Raw genomic sequence first — 23,410 nt, forward strand, 5'->3', positions numbered from 1 at the left:
GGAGTCAGGGCAGGAGCTGGGAGGATGTCCAAGGGAAGCGGGGCCGGTGGCCAGAGGTGGACGGAGCCTGACCAAGGGGCGGGGGCACAGGGATGGGGAGGGGGAGCAATTGCAGGGTCTGGAGGCTGCAGCAGCATTTCTGGTTTTCTTTCTTTCCTTCCCTCCTTTCTTGTAACAATAAGCATTTCTTCCAGCTCCCTGGTCCAGAGTTTGGTTGTGGCTCTGAGCTGCTGGGAGGAGTTGGGGTTGGATCTGTCAGGCTGTGGTTGGTTTCAAATCTCCTTTGTGTGTCTCCTCCCAATGTTTTTTTCTTGGAGGTGAAATACAGTTCTTTTTTCTTGAAGGTGAAATTCACATAAGATGAAATTAACCATTTAAAAGTGAACAATTCAGTGGTATTTAGTGCATTCACACTGTCGTGCAGCCATCACCTCTGTCTAGTTCCAAAGCCTTCCACCATGCAGAAAGGAAGCCCTGTCCCATTGGTAGTCACTGCCAGTCCCTGCACCATCCCCTGGCAGCCACTAAACCGCTTGCTGTAGCTGTGGATCTTCCTAATCTGGATGTCGTGTGTGCGTGGGGCCCTGCACGGGTAGCCTTCTGTGGCTGGCTTCCCCATCTCCATCATGTCCTCCAGGCTCGGCCCTGGTGTGCTGTGCATCAGCACCGCCTTCCTTGCCAGGGCTGAGGGATGCCTGGGTATGGATGGACACACTCTGCCTGCCCGTTTGTCATGGCTGCTCAGCCTTTGGCACCTGTGAACGGTGCTGCCGTGGACATGGAACACAGGTTCCCTTGGATGCCGGTTTCCAGATCTCTCCATGTACCTAGAGGTGAAATGGCTGGGCCTGCGGCAGCCCCGCCAAACTCTGGAGGGGCTGTTACCTTTGGAAGAGGCTCTGACTCCAGGGCACCCTTCCTGTACCCCTCCAGCCTGCGTTCTTGCTGTACCCCCGGACCACAGACCTCCTCACAAGACTGTCCTGCTGCTCCCCAGCTTCTCCTCATGGCCATCCCCTGTGATGCTTTGGAAACGTTTAGGACAGGGTTACCAGTCACCTGGTTTGTCTGAACCTGTGCTCTCTGGGAACAACTGCCTTGCGGCGCTCCGCCCAGCCCTCTTCCTCCTCCTCCTCCTCCACTTCTTCTTTGGAGGGCAGGCATCTTCCCCTGCACACTCGCTCCCCTGCACATCTGGCCTCCTGCAGCCCCAGGTTCATGTCTAGCCCAGGCCTTTCTTCCCCGGTCTGCCCAGGTGACATCTCCCTTGGGGTCTGTGGGCACCTGGATCCTACATGGTCAGAACTGGGCTCCCATCTACCTCGAGCCTGTGGTCCCCCCACCCCAGTCTCCTCGTCACTAGAAGGGGGACAGGCTGAGGACCTCCCCTGCCACCAGGCCTACCTTGGCCAGTGGGTGGGAGGGCCAAGTGTGGGGTCATGTCTGGCAAGGTGGTCTCCCAGCTGTGGGGCGTTGCATGGCTCCAGGCTACAGGCTGGGGCTCCTCATCTGAAAGTGGCTACAGGAATCCGTCTTGCCTCCTAGGGCTGTGGTTGAGGTAGAACCGGCTGACTTATGCTGAGTGTGGTGGTGGGGACTTTGGGCTCCTGGACAACTTCCTTCCCTCTCTCCTGAGCTGCAGTGACTTCGAGGGAGGTGGTCACATAGGCAGAGCCTTCCTGAGCCTTCGTGTCCCCAGGTGTGAGTGGGAATAAGAAGCTGCCCTACCCTCTGCACACAGCACCACTGGACCACTGGACCACTGGACCTACCGGAGGTGCTGTGTGAAGGGCTTCCAGAGGTCCAGGCACATAGTAGGCGCTCAGTGTGTGCTCACTTGTGGGTCATGGAAGCTGGCTGTGTTTGCTCAGAGAACCCAGTTCAGTGGGCTGGGCCCCGAGGGAAGGACGAGTCTGGCCACCGCAGCAAGGAGCAAAGGCAGACAAGGACACGCCCCCCAACAGGGGCCCTCTGCCTCTGGCCCCATGAGGCTGCAGCTGCTCAAGGCAGGGGGCAGGGGCCCAGCTGGTCCCCACTACTTAATCATCTTGTTGGCACTTAGGACCAGCAGGAGCCCCACCAGGGCTGCACCCGGCACTGGCCTTGGAGGGGCTCCAAGCCACCTGGCTCCCTTGGCCTGGGAGTGTTGGTTCTGTAGTGGGGGGATTTCATGGACCCCCATCCTCCTCGAGTGGGTTCAGAGAATGAGGCCTGAGACTGGCTGTGTAGATGGGTTGTCTAAATGGCAGACATTTGTGGTCCATGATGGTGGCCACAGCATTTGGGCAGTATAGACAGGGAGGTGGATGGTGGAGACAGGTGGAAGGCCTGAAGGTGGGTGTGGGCAGCACGGTCGGGGCAACCTTGATGGTGTGCCTGCAGGCATAGGCCATATAGCTGTGTCTGAATTTCATAGGCAGGGCAGGTGGGGTGTGTGTGGAGATGCACAGATGGTGAGGGTTAGGGAGGCTAGGGCAGGAAGATGTGGATAGTGTCCCTGGGTCTGGGAACAGGATGGGCCCCTAACTTCTGCCCCTTCTTTCCGAGTCCCCTACTCTCTGGGGAGGGGCCGAGGCTGTTCCCAGGCCAGCGCTGGAATTTTAAGTCCATGTGCCTCCCTGCACGGCCGTACCGGCTCTCCCTTGCCCTCCCCTGCCCTCCCCTACTGGAAAGGACGTTTGTCAGAAGCTTGTGCTGCTTAGGAGTTTTGGGTGCTGCCTCATCGCTTTCTGTGCTTGTCCCCATTTTACAGATGGGGACGCTGAGGCTCAGAGGTGGAGGGAATTTTCTGGGACCCATGGTGCTTTTTTGAGCCACAGTAGAGGGGTCTGGCTCTGGCGGATGGGGCAGCCCTCAGAGGCCCTGCTTCAGGCCCTCAAACAGTCTGAGTTTGTCCCTGAGGCTGGTTGCACCCTGGGGCTGACCTGCACACCCTGCCCCACTGCTAGAGCCTCTACAGCCCCTGGCTTCTGCGTGCGCCCTCCCCTCTGCCTCTGGTATGTCTCCACTCTTGCTTACGAAGCCAGCACTGCCTGCTGGCCATTTATCCAGCTAACCCTGTAATGCCCCTCTGGGAGCCTCAGACCCCCCCGTGCGGGTTGAGCTGCCAGCAGATGGTGGAGGCCGGAGGGCAGCACACCTGGCAGGCCCTGAGTCCTGGGGCTCCACCTCATGGTTCCACAGTTGCTGAGCATCTGTTCCATGCCAGGCGCTGGAATTGTCTCACTTAGTCCCCTCATGGCCCGCTTTACAGATGAAACCACAGGGGCCTGGAAGGCACCATTCAATCCCATGTGTTTGACACCAGCCCCGTGCCCCCAGGCCTTCACCGCCCGCCTCCACCCTGAGCAGTAGGGCAAACACCTGGCCAGTGGCCTGAGGCTGAGTGCATCCTCCCAGGGCCACTCATTTGAGCCCATGGAGTGTGTGGCCTGTCTAAGTTTGGGGCCAAGGGTGCCACTGAGGGCACTGCTGGTCTCTAGTGCTGGCCTCTTATGCCCCACCCATAGGACCCAGGCAAAGGAGGACAGGTTGGAGTAATAAGGGGTTTGGTCTAGGCTGTGGTCTACCTGAAGTCTCCAGTGAAGGCTACCTCCCTTGGCCTCAGTGTACTCATCTGTAAAATTATAATATCTATCTCGTGGGGATCTCGTCACGTGTCAATGACATTTCAGTCAGTGATGGAGGGTGTGTATGAGAGTGATCCCATAAGATCATCAAGGGGCTGCCCTATACAGGTGTACCACTTTTTATCTTTTATACTGTATTTTTGCTGTACTTTTTCAATGTTTAACTATGTATAGATACACAAATGCTTACCATTGTGTTTCAGCTGCCTACAGTGTTCAGTACAGTACTTGCTGTACAGGTTTGCTGCCTAGGAGCAACAGGCTCCATCACACAACCTGGGTGTGCAGTAGGCTGTACCATCTAGCTTTGTGTAAGTCTCTCTATGATGTTTGCTCAGTGATGAAACTGCCTGATGACACATTTCTCAGCATGTATTCCATCGTTAATCGAGGCATGACTGTATGGTACTCAGGGGCTAAGTCTGACACATAGTAAGTGCTCAATAAACCTAAGCTCTCATTATAGATTACTGTTGCTGTCCTGGAAACAGACACAGGGCCCCTGCTCTGTGCCTGCCCTGTGCTGGGTGATGCACTGATTCTGGAGAGGAATTAGGACTGGAGGCTCAACTCGAGGCTGAGGGTGGGGAAGGTGAAGACAGAGACTGCCTGGTGTGGTCAGGGCTGTGGCAGAGAGAAACCCTGGCATAGGCACCCTGGGAGGGGACCGGCCTGGCGTAAGGCGTTGGAGGTGGGAGCTGCTGGGAGTTCAGTGTTGCCAGGGGTAAACCATTAGAAATTGTTCATCTTAGTTCCAGAAATTCTTTCCAGGCCCTGCTGGGGCCACAGCAAACGGGTCCCTGGAAGTGCTGAGGGACCCCTGAGGGTGGCAGGCCTGGACACAGACCATGACCACATGGGATCCATGGGCTGCTTCCTTCTTTAACCCAGTGCCTAGCACAGAAGTGTTGATGATGCCTGGGCAAGGTGGCTCACACCTGTAATCCCAGCACTTTGGGAGGCTGAGGCAGGAGGATTACTTGAGGCCGGAAGTTCAAGACCAGCCGGGGCAATATAGTGAGACCCATCTCTACAAAAATGAAACATTAGCTGGGTTTGCTGGAGCATGCCTGTAGTCCTAGCTACCCGGGAGGCTGAGGAGGGAGGATCACCTGAGCCCAGGAGTTCAAGGCTACAGTGAGCTCTGATCAAGCCACTGCACTCCAGCCTAGGCGACACAGCAAGATCCTAAAGAAAAAAAAAAAAAAAAAAAAACGGCGCACAGTGACTCATGCCTGTAATCCCAGCATTTTGGGAGGCCAAAGCAGGTGGATCACTCGAGGCCAGGAGTTCGAGAGCAACCTGGCTGACATGGCAAAACCTCGTCTCTACTAAAAATACAAAAATTAGCCGGGCATAGTGAAACCCACCTCTGGGAGGCTGAGGCAGGAGAGTTGCTTGCACCCGGGATGCGGACGTTGCAGTGAGCCGAGATCGCACCACTACACTCCAGAGCGAGACTTCTTCTCAAAAAAAAAAAAAAAAAAAAAAAAAAGAAAGAAAAAAGAAAAAAAGGAAATAATGGACGTGATGATAACAGGGATAGTGATATAATATTTCTCTATGCCAAGCATGGCTCTAAGCTCTTTATGAAGTCATTAATCCTCATGACAATCACATCATATTGCCCCCATGTTACAGATAGGGAAACTGATGCCAGAGAGGTGAAATGACCTGCCCAAGGTCTTACCACGACTGAGTGGCAGAGGTCAGGTAGAGGTTGTGCACTGGCCTGGGGAGAGGGGAAGAGTATTTGGGGTTCAGCTGAGGCAGAGGAGTGGCTGGAGCCCCTCTACTTGGTGGGCAGGGCCATTTCCAGAGCATGTCCTGCTGTGCCCTGCCTGCCCTGCTGTGTGGCTCAGGCATGGCCTGCCCTCTCTGGGCTCTGAGCCTCTGCAGCCAGCCCAGGATGTCCTCGGGCTTCTCGGCTGGGCCACAGCCCTGCTGTACCTGGGTCCCTGCCAGGCTTGTTATGGTGGCTGCCCTGGGCCCCCGGGCGCAGGCAGGGGCCAGGGGTCATTCCAAGGTGCCAGCTGCCCTGGCCTTGGGGTTGGCATGGGGGTGAGGGGCTGGCTGGGCTCTCGAGAACTTGCTGAGGCTAGAGCTGAGTGCTACATGCACCTGGACTCCTTGCTTTTCCTACAACCTTGAGAAATCCTCAGCTAACAGGCAGGGAAACTGAGGCTCAGAGAAGGGCAGCCGGGAATCTGAGATGACACAGCCAGGAAGTCACCGAGCCAGCTCGCCGCAAAGCCCTGCTTCCCACTTTGCAGACGACGTTGATGACCACCACAGCTTCTACTTGCCTGGTGCTTTGCTGTGCACAGGTCCTGCCAGGCAGCAAGCCCTGGCATGCCCATCCCAGTCCTCCAAGGGGCTGTCAGTGCCCATCTGACAAATGAGGACACCGAGGCTCAGAGAGACATCCCCGTGCCTGGCCGGGGTTCTAGCCAGCTTGGTTCGCACCGGTCTCAGGAGCCAGTGGTTATGGGATGCCCGGTGTGGGTATCAGCCCCGTGTTGATGGGGAGGGCCGTCTTGGTTGGGGTGAGGGGCCCCTCCTCTGTGAGGATGACGACAAGAGGATGTGATTCAAGGGCTCTTCACAGTGGTCACTGTCCTAACCACTGGACCCCTGGAGTCACCAGAGCCGGCCAAGCTGGGCCTCCACCCAGCATCCAGGGGTGGGGCTAAGGCATCAGGTTTGGGGCCCACCGTGGCTATGGCCTCAGGTAGCCGTGGGGACGGACTGTGCAGAGCCTCCCAGGGAGGCTTCCTGGATGCACGCAGGTGTTTGGGAGGCTCTGGCCGGGGGTCATCGTTCAAGGGGGTCTCCCAGGGCACAGATTGGAGCACACTGTCCATCAAGGTCATCTGCCTGGCCTCCATTCCTAGCTGTGTGACCCTGGGCAAGTGTGTTTAGCTCTCTGGGCCTCAGTTTCCTCATATGTGAAACAGAGATCCTCATAGGGATGCTTGGGGACTGAATTTGGGAGGGCAGATGCTTGGCAGTAAAGGCATGGGCTTGTTCCCCAGCTCTGCCTCTTATAGGCTGTTTGGCCTTGGGTAAGAAACTTCATTTCTCTGGAGCTTAGTTTCCTCATCCGTCCAATGGGGATAATAGCAGACTCTTCCCTGCAGAGCTTTCTCAGGGCGCAGTGAGGCAGTCAAGGTAACATCCCTGTAGCTGCGATCACAGCTCCTGCTGCAGGCTCTCGAGCAAGGGCCACCCCAAAGAACGCAGGAGGCCTCAGCTTCTCTTGCCTGAGATCGCTGCCGTGTGGGGCTTCAGCGCCCGGCTGCCTGTGGGGAGCGGATCACCGGCGGTTTCATCCCCGTGCACTCTTGTCTGATGAAATATAAATAGCACGCGATGTTTTCGAGCAAGGCTAGGGAAGCGTCTGTGGGTCGTCCTCCCGCCCGGCAGAGGCTGATGAGCTGGCCTGGGGACGGGAAGGAGATGGGAGCTCCTGAATAAATCATCGTGGGAGCTGGGCTAATGCACTGGCCACGGGCAGCGTGTGCAATTAGTGTGTTAATTGTCCAGAGAGGATGACTTTGTGAGGGTGTGGCCCAGAGTCCACTGGTTTGCAGAGTGCCTGATGTCTGGGATGCCTGCCCCCACGACTCTGGGAAAGGACCCCAAGCCGGAGAATCAGCCAGTGCGGCCTGACTCAGGGCCTCATACTCTGCCCTGCGGCCTCCAGCTCCCCTGGCAGCCCTCAGCTGGGGCTGACAGCGCACAGCAGGGATTAGCAAGTGGACCAGGAGCAGAGCCTGGGGGCCGAGACTTGCCCCCTCTCACCCCTCCCTTCTCCTTTTCTTCTTTCAGCCTCTTTGTGCTCAGTGGTTTGGTTTTGTTTTTTGCCTTTGAACCAAGGCTGTCCCAGACTTAGCTTCTCTTGCCCCGTTGCCAAGGTGACCAGACCATCCCTGCCACCCTGCAGCCACTGCCAGGGCTGGGTGAGGGACATAGCCCTGGACGTGTGTGTATGTGTGTGTGTGTGTGTGTGTGTGTGTGTCCATGCCTGTGTACATATGTGTACAAGAGCAGACACACAGAGATCCCCAGGTCGATAGCCCCACACAAATGTGGGCATGGATTCATCGTTTGAGGAAGAACGCAGGCCCGAGTCTGTGTGCATGCTGGAGGCACACGCAGGTGGACTGCACACACCCATGTGTGCCCATGCAGGAGCTCCCTGGTCATACCCCACACTTCTCTGGTACCCGAGGCCCTGCCCAGTGCCTCCTCTGGCCACTGGAGCCTTCTGCATGTGCAGCCGAGGGAATGAATGCGTCCTCCCCTGCCTGGCAGCCCCCGTGGCCAGCAGCATCCCGAGGCCAGGCCAGACCTCTACGGCCCCCACTGCCCACAGCATGCTGGGCCATCCCTCCAATGGGCTTCCTTGCTGGGGATAACTCTGAGGCGTGTTCTATGCCCAGGAGGCTGGAGCCCAGGTATCCTCAGCGGTGACCTGCTCATCTATGCAGTCATTTTTGGCTGCCGTCCTGTCCCCATCTCATGTCCCCACTCCCTTCCTGGTGCTTCCCGCTGTCACCTGCAAAGTAAACTCCCTACTCCCAAATCCTTGACTCAAGATCTGTTTCTGGGGAAAGGACTAGAATAGAACACACCCTTATCCTAGGTCGTGTATCGGTGTACACATGTGACATGTTGCCAGCAAAGATGCGTTTACAGAGCTGTGGTGTGAGAGCAGGCATGTGCTAGCATGTATCATGTGTGTGGTGTGCATAGCACATAGCACTGTATGCTGGACCTGTTCTGGGTACTGTGCATAGACTAACATCTGCTGGACCAGGGAGGCAGAATGATTAGGCCCATTCCACAGATGTGGAAACTGAGGCAAGGATGAATCCATAAATGTGTGCCTTAGGGGTGGAGCCCTGGCAGGAGCTGGGACCCACCCTAGGAGGTGAGAATTTGTGCACCCCCTCAGCATTGCTGCACTACCCACCCCAAGCCCTGCAGATGCTGGCAGGAGGCTGGAGGTGGAAGCGGCTGCATTCATCTTCAGACCCCATGGAGCGAAGCTGCCGTCCCCCATGCCTGCTTCTGGCCTTGCACCCCAGCGACTGTGTGCATGCGCCCTTCCCAGGATGCCTGGCCCCCAGATGCTGGCCGATCATGTGGCCTTTGGGCTCTGGATTCCCTCTCTGAGCTTATTTCTTCGTCTTGGGGCAAGGATAGTCCCCAGCGTGTCTCCTGGGGTTGTCAAGAGATGCACAAAATAGGTCCTTTCTTCCTGCTCCAGGCATGAGAAAGCATTTCCTGGCCATCTCAGTGGCCACCCACCTGCTTTCTGAGCAGACATTGCTGGTCACACCTCTGCTCTGGGACAAATGTCCTGCTAGATCCCAGCTCAGAGAAAGACCATAGCTCCAGGTCAGTACAGCACAGCAGGGGCCAAACAGGGGCCAGACACCAGGGCCCTACCCCACCACTCCTGGGTCCCATAGCCCCTGCCTCCTCACAGCACCAATTAGCTGCCACCAAAGGAATGGGAGAGAGGCAGGCAAGAGCCACATAGTCAGGGAAGGCTTCCTGGAGGAGGTGGTCCAAGCCAGACTTGGAGTGACTGTGGTGTCTCCTAGAGACACCAGGGCCAACGTGCGTGGTCAAATCCTAGGTCTCTATTTCCACAGCCCTGGAAGTCCTGAATTTCTATCCCAGCTTTGCCATGGACTGGCTGCGTGTCCCTAGGCACAGCACTCATCCTATCCGAGCCCCAGTTTCTTGCCTCTATCAAAAGAAACTGGTGTGAATGGAAGTGGCATGTGTCACAGTGACGAGTGTTCCTGACGCACAGCAGTTGCGCAGTCCCAGTTTACTGGGGTTGGAAAGCGTGTGTGGCAGTAAGAGGTCCGTGCAAAGCGGTATGGGGTCAGAACAGCCTCTGTGGGGCCCCGCTCGCTACCGTCTAGCTGTGGGGTGCCTGAGTCTCCTCACTGTGAAATCAGGCCATGCAGAGCCACCTGCTACCTAGTACTAGAGGGAGTGCAGGAAAAAGTGCAGCCAGTGCTTCCAGACCCTTCCCTGTGGCCTGAAGGGCTCCCCACCCCACCTGGGTGGGCTGCACATGCAAAGGCCACCTGGGGGTGGGGAGCAAGCTCCTGGCCTCTGAGCGGCCTGCCCCACCCTGTCCCCTTCAGAGCTCATTTCCCTGCCCCTCCCTCCTGTCTCCTCACACCCTGCCTTGTGTCCTGGGCTGGGGACTCTGCTCTTGTTTCCAGCCCTGTTGACCCTCAGCTGGCCTCGACTCCCTCCTCCCGGGTGGTCACACAGTCCCTCCTGTAGCCGGAATCTCCTGTGTTTCTCCGGTTTCTCCTGGAATGTCTGTCTCCCCCGATCTGTGAGGAGCCGGGCACAGGGCTGACCACCCTTTTCATGCTACACCCCGCACAGAGCCTCAAACGGGTTTGGTGCTCAGGAAAGACTTGTTTATGGAATGAACGGGGAATGAACAAGTGGCTGGATGGGTGGGCGAGGGGCCAGGCTGCCCTGTCCTTTCCCGACAAGGCCCTGGCCCTGAGCTGGCAGGTGCTCAGCCCTTCTCCCTCTGATCCAGCGTGCTGAGCTGTTCGTGTGCTAGGGATGCCTTTGACATCCTCCTTCTCAGAATAACACTTTTGAGTGCAAGAGAGAACCCATATAGGGCCACAGAGGAAACCAGAAATAAGTGTTGCAGTACTTATCAAAACATTCTTTTAAAATGTGTGATCTAGTAATTAGCATGCTGTTGCTTATGAGCGCCCTAACTAGCAAGACCCGGTGGCAGCCGTCCTACTGACTCCATGGGAGCAGGGAGGAGAGCTGTGCAGCTCCAGCGGTCTGCATTGCTATAGGGCCTGGGGTGAGCCCAGGCTCGGTGTGTCCAGCATACATTTCACAGAGAGGTTGAAGGCGGGGAAGTTGATGATTTTTCCCCCATCAAGTTCACAAAGCCCTGGCTTCTGTCCTTGGGCTCTGCGGCAGGACCTCCGGGAACCTGCTCCACTGTCTCGGGGACTGCAAAGCCTGCCCCTGCTTTGCCCGGCCCCCTTGCCTTGCCCCCAGGGTCCTTGGGCAGCCCTCCTGGGGGTCTGGGGACCAAGGAAGGGCATCCCGACTGTGACCTGAGCTTTAGTTTCCCAGCCATGGTAGGGGAGAAGTGGTCGGGGTTGGCTGCATCCCCAGGCCCTCACACCTGGCTGTTGTGTGTGAAATGCCCAGGCCAGGCATTGTGAGTCCCCAAGCAAGGCCATAGAGCAGAGAGGATTTCCCATCACCCCCAGGCTCGGCTGGAACCCTCCTGCTGGCCTGGCAGAAAGCTGACATTTCCTGCCCTGTGGGCCGAGCTCAGAGCTCAGCAGGGGTCAGAGAGTGACAGCCATGCTTTCTTCCTGCAGGGGCCACCCTGCTGTGAGCAGTTCATAAGGGAGGAAGGTGGAGACGCCCTGTTCCCAAGCTATGGGGCCTCTCATTTGACAAATGGGGAAACTGAGGCCCAGAGGGGACAGGGAAGGGGTGGTCCCATGGTGAGCTGAAGCTGGAGTGGCCTTGGGTGGGCTGCAGTGCTGCCTGCCGTCTTGTGATTCAGACTTTAAGGACTCTAGAGCACTCTTGGGGCACAGGGACAGAATCCTAGTTCCCAATCCCTTAACTTCCCCCAGGGACCTGGTTCTGTGCTGAGGCCCCTCAACGCAGTCAGACCCAGGTTCTACCCTCAGGAGACCCTTGGCCTGGTGGACTCAGAAAGACCGGCTGCACCCAGCATGGTCTGGTCCAGGACAGAGGGAAGCACAAGGGGTGGGGCTTGGAAAGGGGTGTTGAAGGATGCATAGGAGTTTGAGGGAGAATGGGGAAGAGAGGGCCTTGGGTAGTGTCTGGCATGCAGCTTCCTCTGAGCGCCATCGACGAAGAGGTGCTCCCATCTGCCCAGCGTGCTGCGCGTCCTCGGCCAAGTCCCCTCCCTTTCTGAGCTGTGTGCTTCTGTCTCGCCATCCATCTGCTGTCCCTGCCTCCCTTTCCCCCACCTCCCTGGCACACTCACTTCAGCCCCGCTGCCCTCCCCTGGCCTCAGCCTCAAGGCCTTTGTGGCTACAGTTCCCACTTGAAGGAGTACCCTCTTCCCTCATTCTCTTCTCACTAGCTCTCCAGATGTCACCTACTCAGGCAGTCTTCCCTGACCTCTGGAATAGTCTCCACCCGTCTCTGGATTTACTCAAGTTCTTTTTTTTTCCTCAGCCTGTTTTTTTTTGGTCTGTCTTGCCCCAGCAGCATGTGGGCCCCCAGGCATGATGTCAGCACATAGTAGAGGCTGGGCAGACGCCGCTGAGCGTGTGAGTCAATGCTGAGTGTGATTCTGGCAGCAGTGCCAGGCCGTGGCGCGCTCACAGATCTGAACTGTAAATGGGGCCTGGGGCAGAGCGATAGGCTTTCTGGAAGGCCTACCCTATTTTCCTGGACTCTACATCTCTGAGGTCAGCCTCCTGCCCATGGTAGGGTGAACCCCAGAGCCCTGAGAGTCTGTCAGGCCCTCCCAGGGAATCTTCTGTACCTGAAATAAGGCCAGATTTACAAAATAAAAGAAGGAAGCTAAGAAAGCAACTGTAACGTGCTCCCCTACAGAGAGCAGACAGGTTATGGGGGGCTGAGGCCCTAATCCTGGCTGGCCCTTTGTGAAGAAATAAATGCACCCCTCAAGCTGGGGACTTCCTTGCTGGGAGCAAGGCAGGCCTGGAGGGCTCACTGAGGGGTTGGTGGCTGGATTACAGAGGGACTGAGGCAGGACACCTGGGTGCTAGGCCCAGCTCTGGCTCAGACTGGTGACCTTGGGCATGGCTCCTCTCTGTGCCTCATTTCCTCCTCTCAAAGAAGCTTGGGCCACCCCACCTGGGACTTCTGTGATGCAGTGAGCAGAAGCCAAGTACTGGGTCCTAGGGGCTCAAGAAACATGCTAGGAGTACTCACGGAGGAGCAAGGGACTTGGGGAAATCATGGAAGACTTCATGGAGGAGGCATCCTTTGAGCTTGGAGGATGCATTGCATTCTGAGAGGCAGAGAAAGGCATTTCATGGTGAGGGGCGAGCTCTGGCTGAGGCTCTGAGGTGTGGGACATTCCAGAGACATTGGAAGCCCAACCCTAGCTCTCTGCTCATTCCTACTGTGTCCTTTTTTCTTATTGATTCATAAGAACTCTTTATATATTAAGCACATGGGTCCGATTTAAACAAACACATTATTTTTCTTTTATTTTACTTACGATTGGTTTTGACAACATCATACATATTTTTATGTTGGCAAATTTCCCAGCCTTTCCTTTGGTGGTCTTTCTGGTCCCAGGATGCTTCTTGTGTCCTTACCTTGTGTCCTTGCTCTCCTGTGCACATGCTGGCTGCTCAGGACATGTCTGAGACTCAAATTAAGTTGAAGCTGGAAAATTTACAGCTGTATGAAAATCAGAAGCCAGGGTGCCTTTGCTGACCTGTGCCTCCCGCTGGGGTTCCTGCCCATCATTCCTTCTTGCTTGGAGTGGGGTCCAGCTGAGGCCCTAAAGGGGCCTGTGACTCTCTGCAGGGTGAGGCAGAGGCTCATAGCTGTGATGAAGGGAGAGGGTGGGAGGACAGGGAGTTCCCAGCTGGCCAGTCTCCATGTATTCACTCATGGAAACCCCATTGCAACCACATGAGATAGGTGCTATGATTAGTTCCATTTTATAGGTGAGAAAACTGCGGTTCAGAGAGGTTATGTGGCTTGCCCAAGGCCACACAGGAAGGGATGGAGACAGGATTTGAATTCATGCCTTGTTGCCCCAGAACTCTTATAGTTTCAAGCTCTCTTATGGCCCTTGGGCTCCCCATTGCCTTTGGGATCAAGTCTAGGCTCATTAATATGACATCCGAGGCCTCCTGGGGTGATGCCTCGGCCTCTGTGCCTGCACACGCTGAGCTTCCCTGATATGATGGTGGCAAGGCTGTGCCCATCTCTTCACACCTTCCCCACAAACCCCGAATAGTTTAGATCCTGGAATGGAGGGCTGGCAGGGCTTCTGTGGAGTAGCTGGGCCAGCCCCCTGGTTTGCACACAGTCAGGGTGGGTCTTGCCCAAGGCCTAGTGCCTGGAGAGTGAAGCTGGAATCTGCACCAAGACTGCAGGACTCTGGTGCTCCTAGCTGTGTCACTGTGCTATGGTTGGTCTCAGGCGGGGTTCTCTCCCCTGCTGCTCGCTGCTGCCTCCCCACTGGCAGATACTCCTCTAGGAAGCACCCCTCCTGCCACTGGGTTAGACACCTCGCCTGGGCTCCCGAGGGCCCAGCGAGTTGTGACTGCTGACTTCTCACCGTCTGCCCTGTGAGGCAGGGTGCCCCATGAAGGCAGGCGCCCAATGCTTCCTCTTCAAGTCCTCGGTGCCCAGTGAGGACTTGAAGAGGGAGACCCAGAGAGGGACAGAGCCCTGCTCCAGGTCACACAGCAAGTTGGGGCAGAGCCAGGAGTCCTAGAAGGGCCCCAAGACCCTCCAGGTCTCCCCTGTTCCTAGGACTTAACGGAGCCCAGGGATGGGGCAGTGTCTGCGATGGCCACCCCAGCAGAGGGCACTACTGTAGGGCCTCTGTTCTCTGCTTCTCCCAGGGGCCTGGGGCCAAGGACACCCTCTCTCCCTCCTGCCCCCACCCTCTGTGAAGAAGGATGTTCTCAAGATAGAAATACCGTCAGAAACATTCCCTGGTGTTTGGTGTGACTGTCGTCCACTCTGTGGGGCCAGAACCTTCTGACCTGGCCTCACCTCAGGGCTTAAGGGTGGACGTTTGCCTTTTCTGGCCGCTTGGTGCAGCCTCTTTCTGGGGTCCATATGTCCAGCCCCCATCTTTACGCCACGGAATGTGAGGGGTCAGTGTCACTCAAGGTTCCTGCAGCTTCCACTTTCTGAGCATCCTCTGTGGGCCGGGCGCATCCCGAGCATGGAACAGCGAGGCAGATCCTGCCCTTGTGCGTTTTGTGGCTCCTTGCGGGCCAGGGGGGCTTCTGAGGACATCCAGCAGGCCACAGGGAGGCTTGGGCACAGCCAGCTTTCCGTCCTGTTGGGAAGCCTGTTTCTGCTTTCAGTGCCCACGTGGTGTCAGGAACGCCGGTCACAGTGAACGCCTGCAGGACCCACACTGCTGCATCGTCTCTGTGGGACAGATACTGAAGCCAGGGCTTGGCTTACCCTTGTGACAGTCTCCCGAGGTGTGTGGGGTCTCCTCATTTTGCAGATGGGGAGTTTCAGGCCCCAGTGAGCTGGGGGGCTGCCAGGCCTCTCCAGGGAGGGTGACAGCTGCCACCTCCCAGAGACCCGCTGGGGCGAGGCCCAGTGCCCGGACTGCAGCTTCGTCACCACCTTCAATTTCATGGCACACCCTCTGAGAGGCCTGGCAGGCGACACCAGCCTCGTTTTTCAGAGGAAGCTGAGCCTCAGGAAGGGGAAGTGCCTTGCCCTGTTCCGTGGGGGATTTCAGCCCCAGCCTCAGCCCAGGCCCTGCCCTCCCCTGCGGGACGCTGTGGGCCAGCCCGGCCTGTTGGCCCTCAGTCGTGGTCATGGGGAAGCACTGCCCCTGCAGCCCACCTCCCCATCCAGGATTGTGACCATAACCCCGGGAAGCATTTGTGGGACTTGGCGGGGTGAGCTCACATGGCGGCTGCTGTGGCCCCTGCAGGTGGCGGGAGCTCTGGCCAGGGCATGTGGAAGGCTGGCTCCTGTTTGCAGGGTCCTGCCCTGCACTGTGACTTCAGGAAAGTCTCTTCTCTGCTCTACGTCTCAGTACCCCTGTGTAGAATAGAGCTAATTTTGCCTTCCTCCTAGATAAGAACAAATCCAGCTGGATTTGTGGTCTGGGGAATGCCCCTTCCAGGTAGTAGGGAGTGAGGGACGAGGTTGGGAGAGCCTGCTGCAAGCCAGGTGACCAGCAGGACGTGGATAGGGGCTGCTGCCCACACTTCTGGCCCCCACCCCTGCTTGGCTTCCCATGGCCCTGTGGCAATATCCGACCTTCGCTGCTCAGAGTTCCAGCTCCAGGTGACTGGGCAGGTGACTTAGCTTCTCTCAGCCTCAGTTTTCCTATCTGTCCAGAGGGGAGAATTGTCCCTCCTCCAAGGCAGGGCTGTGAGCATCGGGATGACTGCAGCCAGCTGCCAAGCATGCAGGGCTTGCACAGTGTTGGCCCACTCGGGGAAGGGGGTGGACCCAAGTCCCTGCCGTGGAGGTCCCCAGCTGTGTGATGTTGGCTTGTGACAGAACCTCTCTGAACCTCTGCAGCTCATCCACCTGTCCATCCATCCACCCATCCATCTCTGAACCTCTGTGTCCCCATCAGTTTTGAGGATGGAATGGCTGAGAGAGGCAAAGTGTAGGCCTGTGGCTTCTGCTCCCAGAATGATGAGGGATGGGGAAGAAGGGGCTGGGGATTGGGGGACTTGGAGGGTGAAGAGGGACTGAAGGGCCACTAGAGACCAGGCAGGCCATCCCATTTCAGAACAAGCTGAGAGAGGGGAAGTGACTCACTCAAGGTCACACAGCTTATGAGGGGCAGAGCTGGGATTTGAATCTAGGTCTGTGTGCCTCTAAACCACTGTCACCTGTCCCAGGAGGCTAATGAGGTGGGGGTGACTTACCAACATTTGCCTTAATTCCAGCCAGAAAAACCAGTGTGACAAACCAGCCTTGGCTGTAACCTTGGAAAGGGCAGGCCCCATGAACTCCCTGGCTGGGAGGTGCGGAGGTGAGAAGCATGTCAGGTGGCTCACCGTGGAGATCCTCAGAGCCCCTTCCCACCAACCTCTTCTCTGATTCTCACGGCACACTGGATAGGAAGGCAGGGGGATCCCTTTGACAGGTGGGGAAATTGCATCTTTGGGATTGCAGGGACCATGTAGGATGTATGTGTACCCAAGGCAAATCTCTGGCAAATTACTGATGTGTGCCCATCCACGTAGTTAGCCATGTGCCCACCTGCTCATCCATCTAGTCATCTATCCTACTCGCCCAAACACCCTATCCATCCATCTACCCACTCATCACCCACCCTCACACCCATCCACCCATCCATCTATCCATCTACCCACCCATCCACCCACCCATCCATTCACCCATCTATCCATCCATCCACCCTTCCATCCCTCTATCCATTCATTTCTCTACCCACCCATACACTCATCCACCTGTCCATCTATCCACCCATCCACTCATCCACTCATTCACTCCACCCATCCATCACCCAACATTCCATCCATCCATCCATCCATGCACCCATCACCCATTCATCCATTAATCTGTTCATCCACCCACTCAACCATATACCCACCCATCCACCCAGCCATCCCTCTATCCATTCACTTCTTCACTCACCCATCCACTCATTCACTCACCCATCCATCCACCCAATCATCTGCCCATCCATCCATCCCATTCGTCTATCCATCCATCCACCCACCCATTACCCATCCATCCATCCACCCATCCATCCATCCATCCACCCATTCACCCACCTATCCCTCCATTCATTCATCTACCCATCCACTCAGTCACCCACCCATCTACCCTTCTGTTCATCCATCCATCCAATCATCTACTTTCACACTTATCCATCCATCTATCCAACCATCCATCCATCCATCCATTCATCCATCCATCCATCCATCCATCCATCCTATTATCCATTCATCCACTCATCCATTCACCCATTCATCCACTCATCCATCCTTCCTCCATACAGCCATCCACCCTCACACCCAACCACTCATTCACCCATCCATCCATCCACCCACCCATGTATTCATTCATCCATCTACCCACTCATCCATTTATCCATCCACCTACCCATTCATCCCTGCATTCATTTATCCACCCACCCATCCATCATCCATCCATCCATCCATCCATCCATCCACCCATTCATTCATCCACCCACCCAGCTATTCACAACTGGCTCCAAGGTTGGCGTTGGGAAGGCTCTGCAGGTGGTGGCTGGGAGTACAGGCTGAGGGCCTGAATTCCTTTGTGACAGTGGGAGAATTACCACATTAACTACTTCTCTGGAATAGTAACAACAATAGTTCCAACCTTGTGTAATTGTGAGGATTATGTGAGATGATGTATGTAAAATGCCTACTATAGTGTCTGGCATGCAATAGGCACTCAATAATTGTCAGCGGTCATTTTTCTCTGACACCCCATCTTGTTCTGCTCTTCTCTGGTTCTGGATGGTTGCTATGCTGTGAAGGTGTGGGGCATCAAAGGTGCAGGCCAGAGGCCCTTCCACCTCCTGTGGGGCCCTGGGGAAGTGAGCAGAAATGTGGTTTCATGTGGTTATGTCTTACTTGTGAGCCCCTCTGAGAAGAGCAGCACCGCCTGCAGTAACTTGGCTTTACTCTTTTAACTTTAGGATGTTCTAGTGACTGGATCCTTTCCAGTTGGTGCCTGGGAAATGGCAGCCACTACTAATTCAGCCTTGAAGACAGTACCGTGCCCACTCAGCACCATTACATAGAAGATAGAACTCAAGAGGTAAGAGTGAAGTCATTGACATGCTCTTGTGCATCTAGGCATTCCTTCCACCAGACTCTCATCTGTACATCCTTCACCCCTCCACCCACCATGCCATCCTTTCATCACCCATTCCCCCACCCATTTATCTGCTCAGCCTTCCATCCACCCACCCATGCCTCCACCCCTCCATCCATCCCCTCGCCCATGCCATCCGTTCCTCACCCATTCCCCCACCCATTCATCTGCTCAACCATCCATCCACCCATCCTTCCACCCACCTAGCCAGTCCATCTATCTGGTCACCCCTATCGTCCACCCACCCATCTGTCAACCCGATTTATCCACCCATCTGCCTGACCACCCACCTGTTGATTCAATCACTGTTCCACCCATCTCCTCATCCATCCCATTCAGCTGCTTAGTCCTTCACCCTTCATCTGGCTGGAGCGCATTTCCTGGGTGCCCCTCTTTGCTATACCTGCATCAGCCTCTCTAGGCCTCTGAGCTTGGTCAGAGATGGGGCCTGGGCAAGATCAACTCTCACACAAGGTGGGAAGTAGCTTCTGGCCTGAACGGGAAAAGCCCAGTGCTAGAGGATCCTAAAGGGGGCCAGGGGAGGAGGAGGAGGTGGAGGAGGCAGAGGAGAAGGCGGCTCAGTATTGTGGGGCAGAAGGAGGAGGAGGAAGAGCAGGAGGAGACTTGGTGTGGGGCATCCAGGAGGGGAGGCCAGGGTTCAAGAGCCTTTGCTGTGGAGAGGCTACTGGAGACCCTATGAGGAAGGCCCAGGAGACAAAGGTTCCAGCGCAAGTAGTTTCCTGGGAGGTGATCCCAGGAAATAAGGAAATGAGGTGAGAAAGAGAAGGAAGTGATAAAGGGCATGTCATTGATACAGTTACTGCTGGGGCACTGGAGCCGACTCCCGCTGGGGAGGCCAGGGAAGCAGTGCCCCTCCCAGGGGCAGCTTGCTGGGGCCCAGCCACCTGCTCCCATCAGTCACTGACTGAAAGCTGTCCTGGCAGCATCAGCTCCTCAGCCTGCCCTCTGAATGGCAGAGCGTGCCCATGGCTAGAGAGAGCTTTTGGGCAGAGAGACACTGTGGTTGGTGTAGGAATTGAGACAGGTGGGCCTGAGGTGGTAAGGGCCTAGGATATCAGTGGGGCACCCACCACCCCATGCCCTGCACACAGTGATGTGTTGCTGCTGCCTCTCTCCTCAGGCCTAGCCTGCATTTGGCATAGGAAGCCGTCATGGCATTGGACCCAAATGTTTGAGGGCCATGGGTTAGCTTCGTGGACAGAGGTCAGCTGAGTCTCTGGTGGGGAGGTTTGGCCTGGAAAGGGGATTGGGTGTAAGAGGTCATCATCTTCTTCCCAGATTATGAGACATAGGAATGCCACCCACCACTCTCCCTCTCCCCTCCACACCAGCCTGGGTTCTCCCCCATCCAGCCAAGCTTCCTCACTGCCCCCAGGGTGCCCAACACGTCTTTGCCTCCCACTCCTGGCTCTGGCAGTGTCCCCCAGGAGTGCCCCTCCTGGCTGCCTGTGCCCAGCCTAGCCTTGATGTGGTCCTATACCCTGGGCAGGGCCTGCCATGAGGGAGAGCCCCTAACCCTGCAGCCAGCCCTGCCTCTCACACCCTATGTGACGGAGCAAGGGCACCGGCTCAGAGCCTCAGTCTCCCCATCTGCAAAGGAAGGGCTGGGCTTTCCAGGCCCCAGTGCTGCATCTGATGAATGGTGCCTGGATTAGGAAAGATTCTGAGCTGCTCTGGATGCAGTGGATGAAGCTCTGTGGCTGAGGAATGGTGCTTGCCTGGGCGAGGCTGGAGCAGGCACCTTGGGCGGGGAGGCGTGCGCCAGCCTTCCCTGCATTGAGTGATCTCTGAGGGGTCTTCCAACGGTGAGGCTTGATCATGAGGTAGAGTGCCCCATCTCCGAATGAGGGTGAGTGGCCGTGGGTTGGAGTGCTGGTGAGGGCCCTTGAACCTGTGCTTTTGAGTGCCGATTTGCAGCAGTCTACATCTCATCACCACCTGGGACTGCAGGGGCTTGGGACCAAAAGGATTGCAGTGCCACGCACACAGTCAGGCCTCAGGTCTTGGTGTTGTGGGGCACTGGTTTCACCCCTACAGCCCAGCCTGGAAGCTTCACTCCTGAAAGGCTGTGTAACCATCACAGTGACTCAATCTTCCTAGGCTTCCGTCTGCTCATCTGGAAAATGGGGATAATAATCACAGTGTGATGGAAGGGATTAAATGAATCAGTTTATTAAAGCTCTTAGAAGAGCACGTGGCAGGTAGTAAGCACTTGATAGATACTGAGTGCTGTGTTCGTGCCTCGTGAGGCGCCCCAGCTAGCTGAACAGTCTCTGCATGGGGGATGGGGGCTGTTGGCGCCTCCCCCTCCGAGTCCCTATGTCTTACCCTGGGTGATGCAGGCGCCTGCACTCTCCCTTCCGGTCAGTGCTTTCTTGGTGTCTGGGAATGTGGGTCCAGGCCTTGCCCTGAGCTCCTCCCGGATGTCACCGAAACCTGAGAAGCCCAGGGCCTCAGGGCAGTGGGCATGGGGCATCCAGTTCCATCCGGAAGCACCTCCCGGTGACTCCTGGACCCCACCCTTAGGTCACGTGGCAGCTGCCGTCTGGCATCCTCTCTAAAAGCTCCCAGCCCAGGTCCTGGTCTGTTCTTCAAGTGGACTGGTCGCTGGGAGGCTGCGTCTGTAGGCACTGTGGCCAGCAGGAAAGCAGGGATCTCCGGGGGTCTGCCGGGCCCGTGCTCTCTCCCCACTGCCTGCTCTCTCCCTCCTGGGTTTGCTTCACTGCCCCTTGGTGTTGAAACCGCCTTGTCTAGCTCAGGTAGTGTACCCCAGCGCCCCTCTCCCATTCCCCTCCCGGCGACCCTGGGACCCTGGCAGGCCAACCTGGGTGTCTGCGGAAAACGGTCCTACCTTTAGTAGTGAGCACCTTGTCTTGGCCCTTGAATTGCTTTGTGACCTGGGACAAGTCTCTTTTTCTTTTTGGACTTGGTTCTCCCATCTGTGAAATGGGGAGCCAGCCTTCTTGCTTGCTAAGGCCTCTTCCAGCAAAACAGTTTCTCTGATTTCATGTCTTGTCTGATTTCACTGTATGCACCCCATTGAGCAAGAGCCAAAAAGGCCTGTGTGTCCCTGGTGGAGGATATTGTCCTATATTTCTTATATTGCGACCTTGAAGGCCGCATGGTTGTGTAACATCTTGCCACACCTGTGTTTACGCAGGAGTGTTCTTGAGACATTGTCTAGCTTGTGGTGCTAGGGTTTCTATGCCAGGGTCCCCTTCTGGGTCTGTCTTTGTGGTGCTGTATTCACCAAGTGCCCAGTGAGGGGGCTCCCAGCACCCCTGGGGAGGGTTTCTCTCTCTCTCTCTCTCACACACACACACACGCACACACGGCAGAGCAGGGCTGTGTGAGGCTGAGGACTGACATTCTGGGCTCCAACTCTCTCTTCTGCTCAGTTTCCAGGGGTCCTGGGACAGGTGTCTTTGTCAGTTTTTGGCTCTGAGAAATGAGGGAGTGGGGCATGAACTTGACCTTGTTGATGCTCTCTGTGTGGTAAAACCACGCAGAGAGGAACGTCGACAGAAGTGGGGGTTTCCAAGCCTGTATGACACCATCTGGGCAGGTCTGCGGTGCCCAGCCCTGGCAGAGATGCCAGGAGCTGTGGCAGCACCCTCACCAGTCTGGTAGTTGGCCAGTTTCGAGGCCGCCAGCTGCTGGGAGCACATGCAGACCGGGCTCTCTGGCCTTTAATTCTTGTGATTCTGTTCCTTGCAGGCTTTGAGCTGCTCGGAGCAGGGGCTGGAGCAGCCATGACCCGCTGGAAGTCCCTCAAGGCCCCTGGGCCACACAAATCCAGCCCCTGTCAGCTGGTGGCCTCACGCCGGCGTCTGAGTGCCCCGGCCCTGGCTGCCTCTTTCTGGAGGGTCCAGGAATCTGGGGCTGAGCCCCCTTCCCAGCACAGCCTCAGGGGTCCCCCCTGCTGCCGGCTCCCTACTTCCAGGCCCAGGCAGAAGCAGTGTCCACCATTCCGGCCCTGCGTCCCAGCTCCTCAGCGTCATGGTGAGGTGGTCAGCCACAGCGGTGTTGGGGGAGGACGGCAGAGTAAGGAAAGGCATCCCTGCAGAGCTTGGGGGCCCATGGTGGGGGACGGCGCTAGAGGTGGTTTAAAACTCAACTCTCCTGCTTAATGGCTGTGTGGCCTGGGGGAAGTCACTTAACTTCTCTGAACCTGGATGGTGGCTGCACCCCCGGGTTGTTGAGAGGACGATCTGAGGGCAGCTGTTGATGGATCTGTCCCCCAAGGCGCCCAGGACCCCGCCTGCTCTCCCTGTGTCTCTCTCAGGCGGCAGTTGCTGTGTGCTGCTCGGACCAGCGGGCTCGGGGCTAAGCAACCAGGCAGCCCCTGGGAGTGTTCCACAGCCTGGCCGGGCAGGCGGCTCCACCATCACCTGTTGCTCAGGTGTTTGGAGCAGAGCTCAGAGGCCGCACCCGCTCCGAGGCCCAGACTAGTGTGGACGTGGCCAGAAGCTGGGTCACACAGACCGGGGCTGAGTCCTGGCATTGCTGCCTCCTGCCTATGGGACTGGGACAAGTCCATTCTGGCTTCTGGGCCTCCAGGTCCTTGTTTGTAAAGCAGGGTGGCCCACCCCTCCCTGGAGGGCTTGAGAGGCCTGCAGAAGGCTGTGTGCAGCGCCTGGTTCACAGTGGTGCCATCCCCCCAGGATGTTCTCTTGGGGCCTCAGTGTCTTCGTAACTGAGTAATGTGGCTGCAGGTGTGCTAAGGGAGAAGGCTTTGTCTAGCTCTGAGGTTATGGTGTGACTGGACTGGGACTGGGGGTGCTGGGTCCCTGTGGGCGGGGAGGGGTGGGCCTGTCCAGCTCCTCCGTCGGGGCTAATGCTGGAAGGCCCAGGTCTCCCTGCTTCCAGCCTAGCCCAGCCAAGGCAGGCTGCCATCCAGATGTGGCTGTGGGCCAGGCGGTGCCATAGCCCCTAGCTTGCAGATGCCCTAGCCTGTCACTGACAGGCCAGTGTGGGGCCTTTAGTGGGGGCAGCACAGCCTGTGTGTCCCGGGGGTGGGCACGTCAGTGGCTGAGAGCAGGCTTTGTTCTGGCTGGCATGGATGCCCTGCTGCGGGGCCTGTCCTGGGGTGCCTGAATGTGCAGTAGGCTGGCCTGGAGCCAGGTGCTGCCTGCAGTGAGCTGAGGGTGGTGCTGGGAACA

At 56.9% G+C, this 23,410-nt stretch overlaps 1 protein-coding gene across 3 annotated transcripts in view, besides 7 other annotated features; it reads left to right on the top strand.

The window, feature by feature from the left end:
• The window catches only part of KCNJ12 (potassium inwardly rectifying channel subfamily J member 12), a 43,514-nt gene that overhangs the window by 14,114 nt on the left and 5,990 nt on the right, over positions 1-23,410 (top strand). For 2 of the 3 annotated variants that reach the window (NM_021012.5, XM_005256625.6), the window contains exon 2: positions 18,049-18,170. The gene's annotated coding sequence lies outside the window, so the exon portion shown is untranslated. Of the gene's footprint in view, positions 1-16,094; positions 16,387-18,048; positions 18,171-23,410 lie in introns of those variants that run through there. The other variant, XM_011523831.3, reaches the window with a different exon arrangement.
• Positions 6,857-7,456: an enhancer, noted in NCBI's record as "H3K4me1 hESC enhancer chr17:21300639-21301238 (GRCh37/hg19 assembly coordinates)". NCBI's record gives its function as "activates a minimal SCP1, AML or CMV promoter by ChIP-STARR-seq in primed H9 embryonic stem cells {active_cell/tissue: H9 hESC(primed)}" and the evidence as "EXISTENCE:reporter gene assay evidence [ECO:0000049][PMID:30033119]".
• Positions 9,205-10,182: an enhancer, noted in NCBI's record as "H3K4me1 hESC enhancer chr17:21302987-21303964 (GRCh37/hg19 assembly coordinates)". NCBI's record gives its function as "activates a minimal SCP1, AML or CMV promoter by ChIP-STARR-seq in primed H9 embryonic stem cells {active_cell/tissue: H9 hESC(primed)}" and the evidence as "EXISTENCE:reporter gene assay evidence [ECO:0000049][PMID:30033119]".
• Positions 10,183-11,160: an enhancer, noted in NCBI's record as "H3K4me1 hESC enhancer chr17:21303965-21304942 (GRCh37/hg19 assembly coordinates)". NCBI's record gives its function as "activates a minimal SCP1, AML or CMV promoter by ChIP-STARR-seq in naive H9 embryonic stem cells {active_cell/tissue: H9 hESC(naive)}" and the evidence as "EXISTENCE:reporter gene assay evidence [ECO:0000049][PMID:30033119]".
• Positions 13,769-14,268: an enhancer, noted in NCBI's record as "H3K4me1 hESC enhancer chr17:21307551-21308050 (GRCh37/hg19 assembly coordinates)". NCBI's record gives its function as "activates a minimal SCP1, AML or CMV promoter by ChIP-STARR-seq in naive H9 embryonic stem cells {active_cell/tissue: H9 hESC(naive)}" and the evidence as "EXISTENCE:reporter gene assay evidence [ECO:0000049][PMID:30033119]".
• Positions 14,676-15,176: an enhancer, noted in NCBI's record as "H3K4me1 hESC enhancer chr17:21308458-21308958 (GRCh37/hg19 assembly coordinates)". NCBI's record gives its function as "activates a minimal SCP1, AML or CMV promoter by ChIP-STARR-seq in naive H9 embryonic stem cells {active_cell/tissue: H9 hESC(naive)}" and the evidence as "EXISTENCE:reporter gene assay evidence [ECO:0000049][PMID:30033119]".
• Positions 19,315-20,275: an enhancer, noted in NCBI's record as "H3K4me1 hESC enhancer chr17:21313097-21314057 (GRCh37/hg19 assembly coordinates)". NCBI's record gives its function as "activates a minimal SCP1, AML or CMV promoter by ChIP-STARR-seq in naive H9 embryonic stem cells {active_cell/tissue: H9 hESC(naive)}" and the evidence as "EXISTENCE:reporter gene assay evidence [ECO:0000049][PMID:30033119]".
• Positions 20,276-21,235: an enhancer, noted in NCBI's record as "H3K4me1 hESC enhancer chr17:21314058-21315017 (GRCh37/hg19 assembly coordinates)". NCBI's record gives its function as "activates a minimal SCP1, AML or CMV promoter by ChIP-STARR-seq in naive H9 embryonic stem cells {active_cell/tissue: H9 hESC(naive)}" and the evidence as "EXISTENCE:reporter gene assay evidence [ECO:0000049][PMID:30033119]".

The sequence above is a fragment of the Homo sapiens genome, chromosome 17 (genome assembly GCF_000001405.40).
Source record: "Homo sapiens chromosome 17, GRCh38.p14 Primary Assembly".
In the NCBI taxonomy this organism is placed as follows: Eukaryota; Metazoa; Chordata; class Mammalia; order Primates; family Hominidae; genus Homo; species Homo sapiens.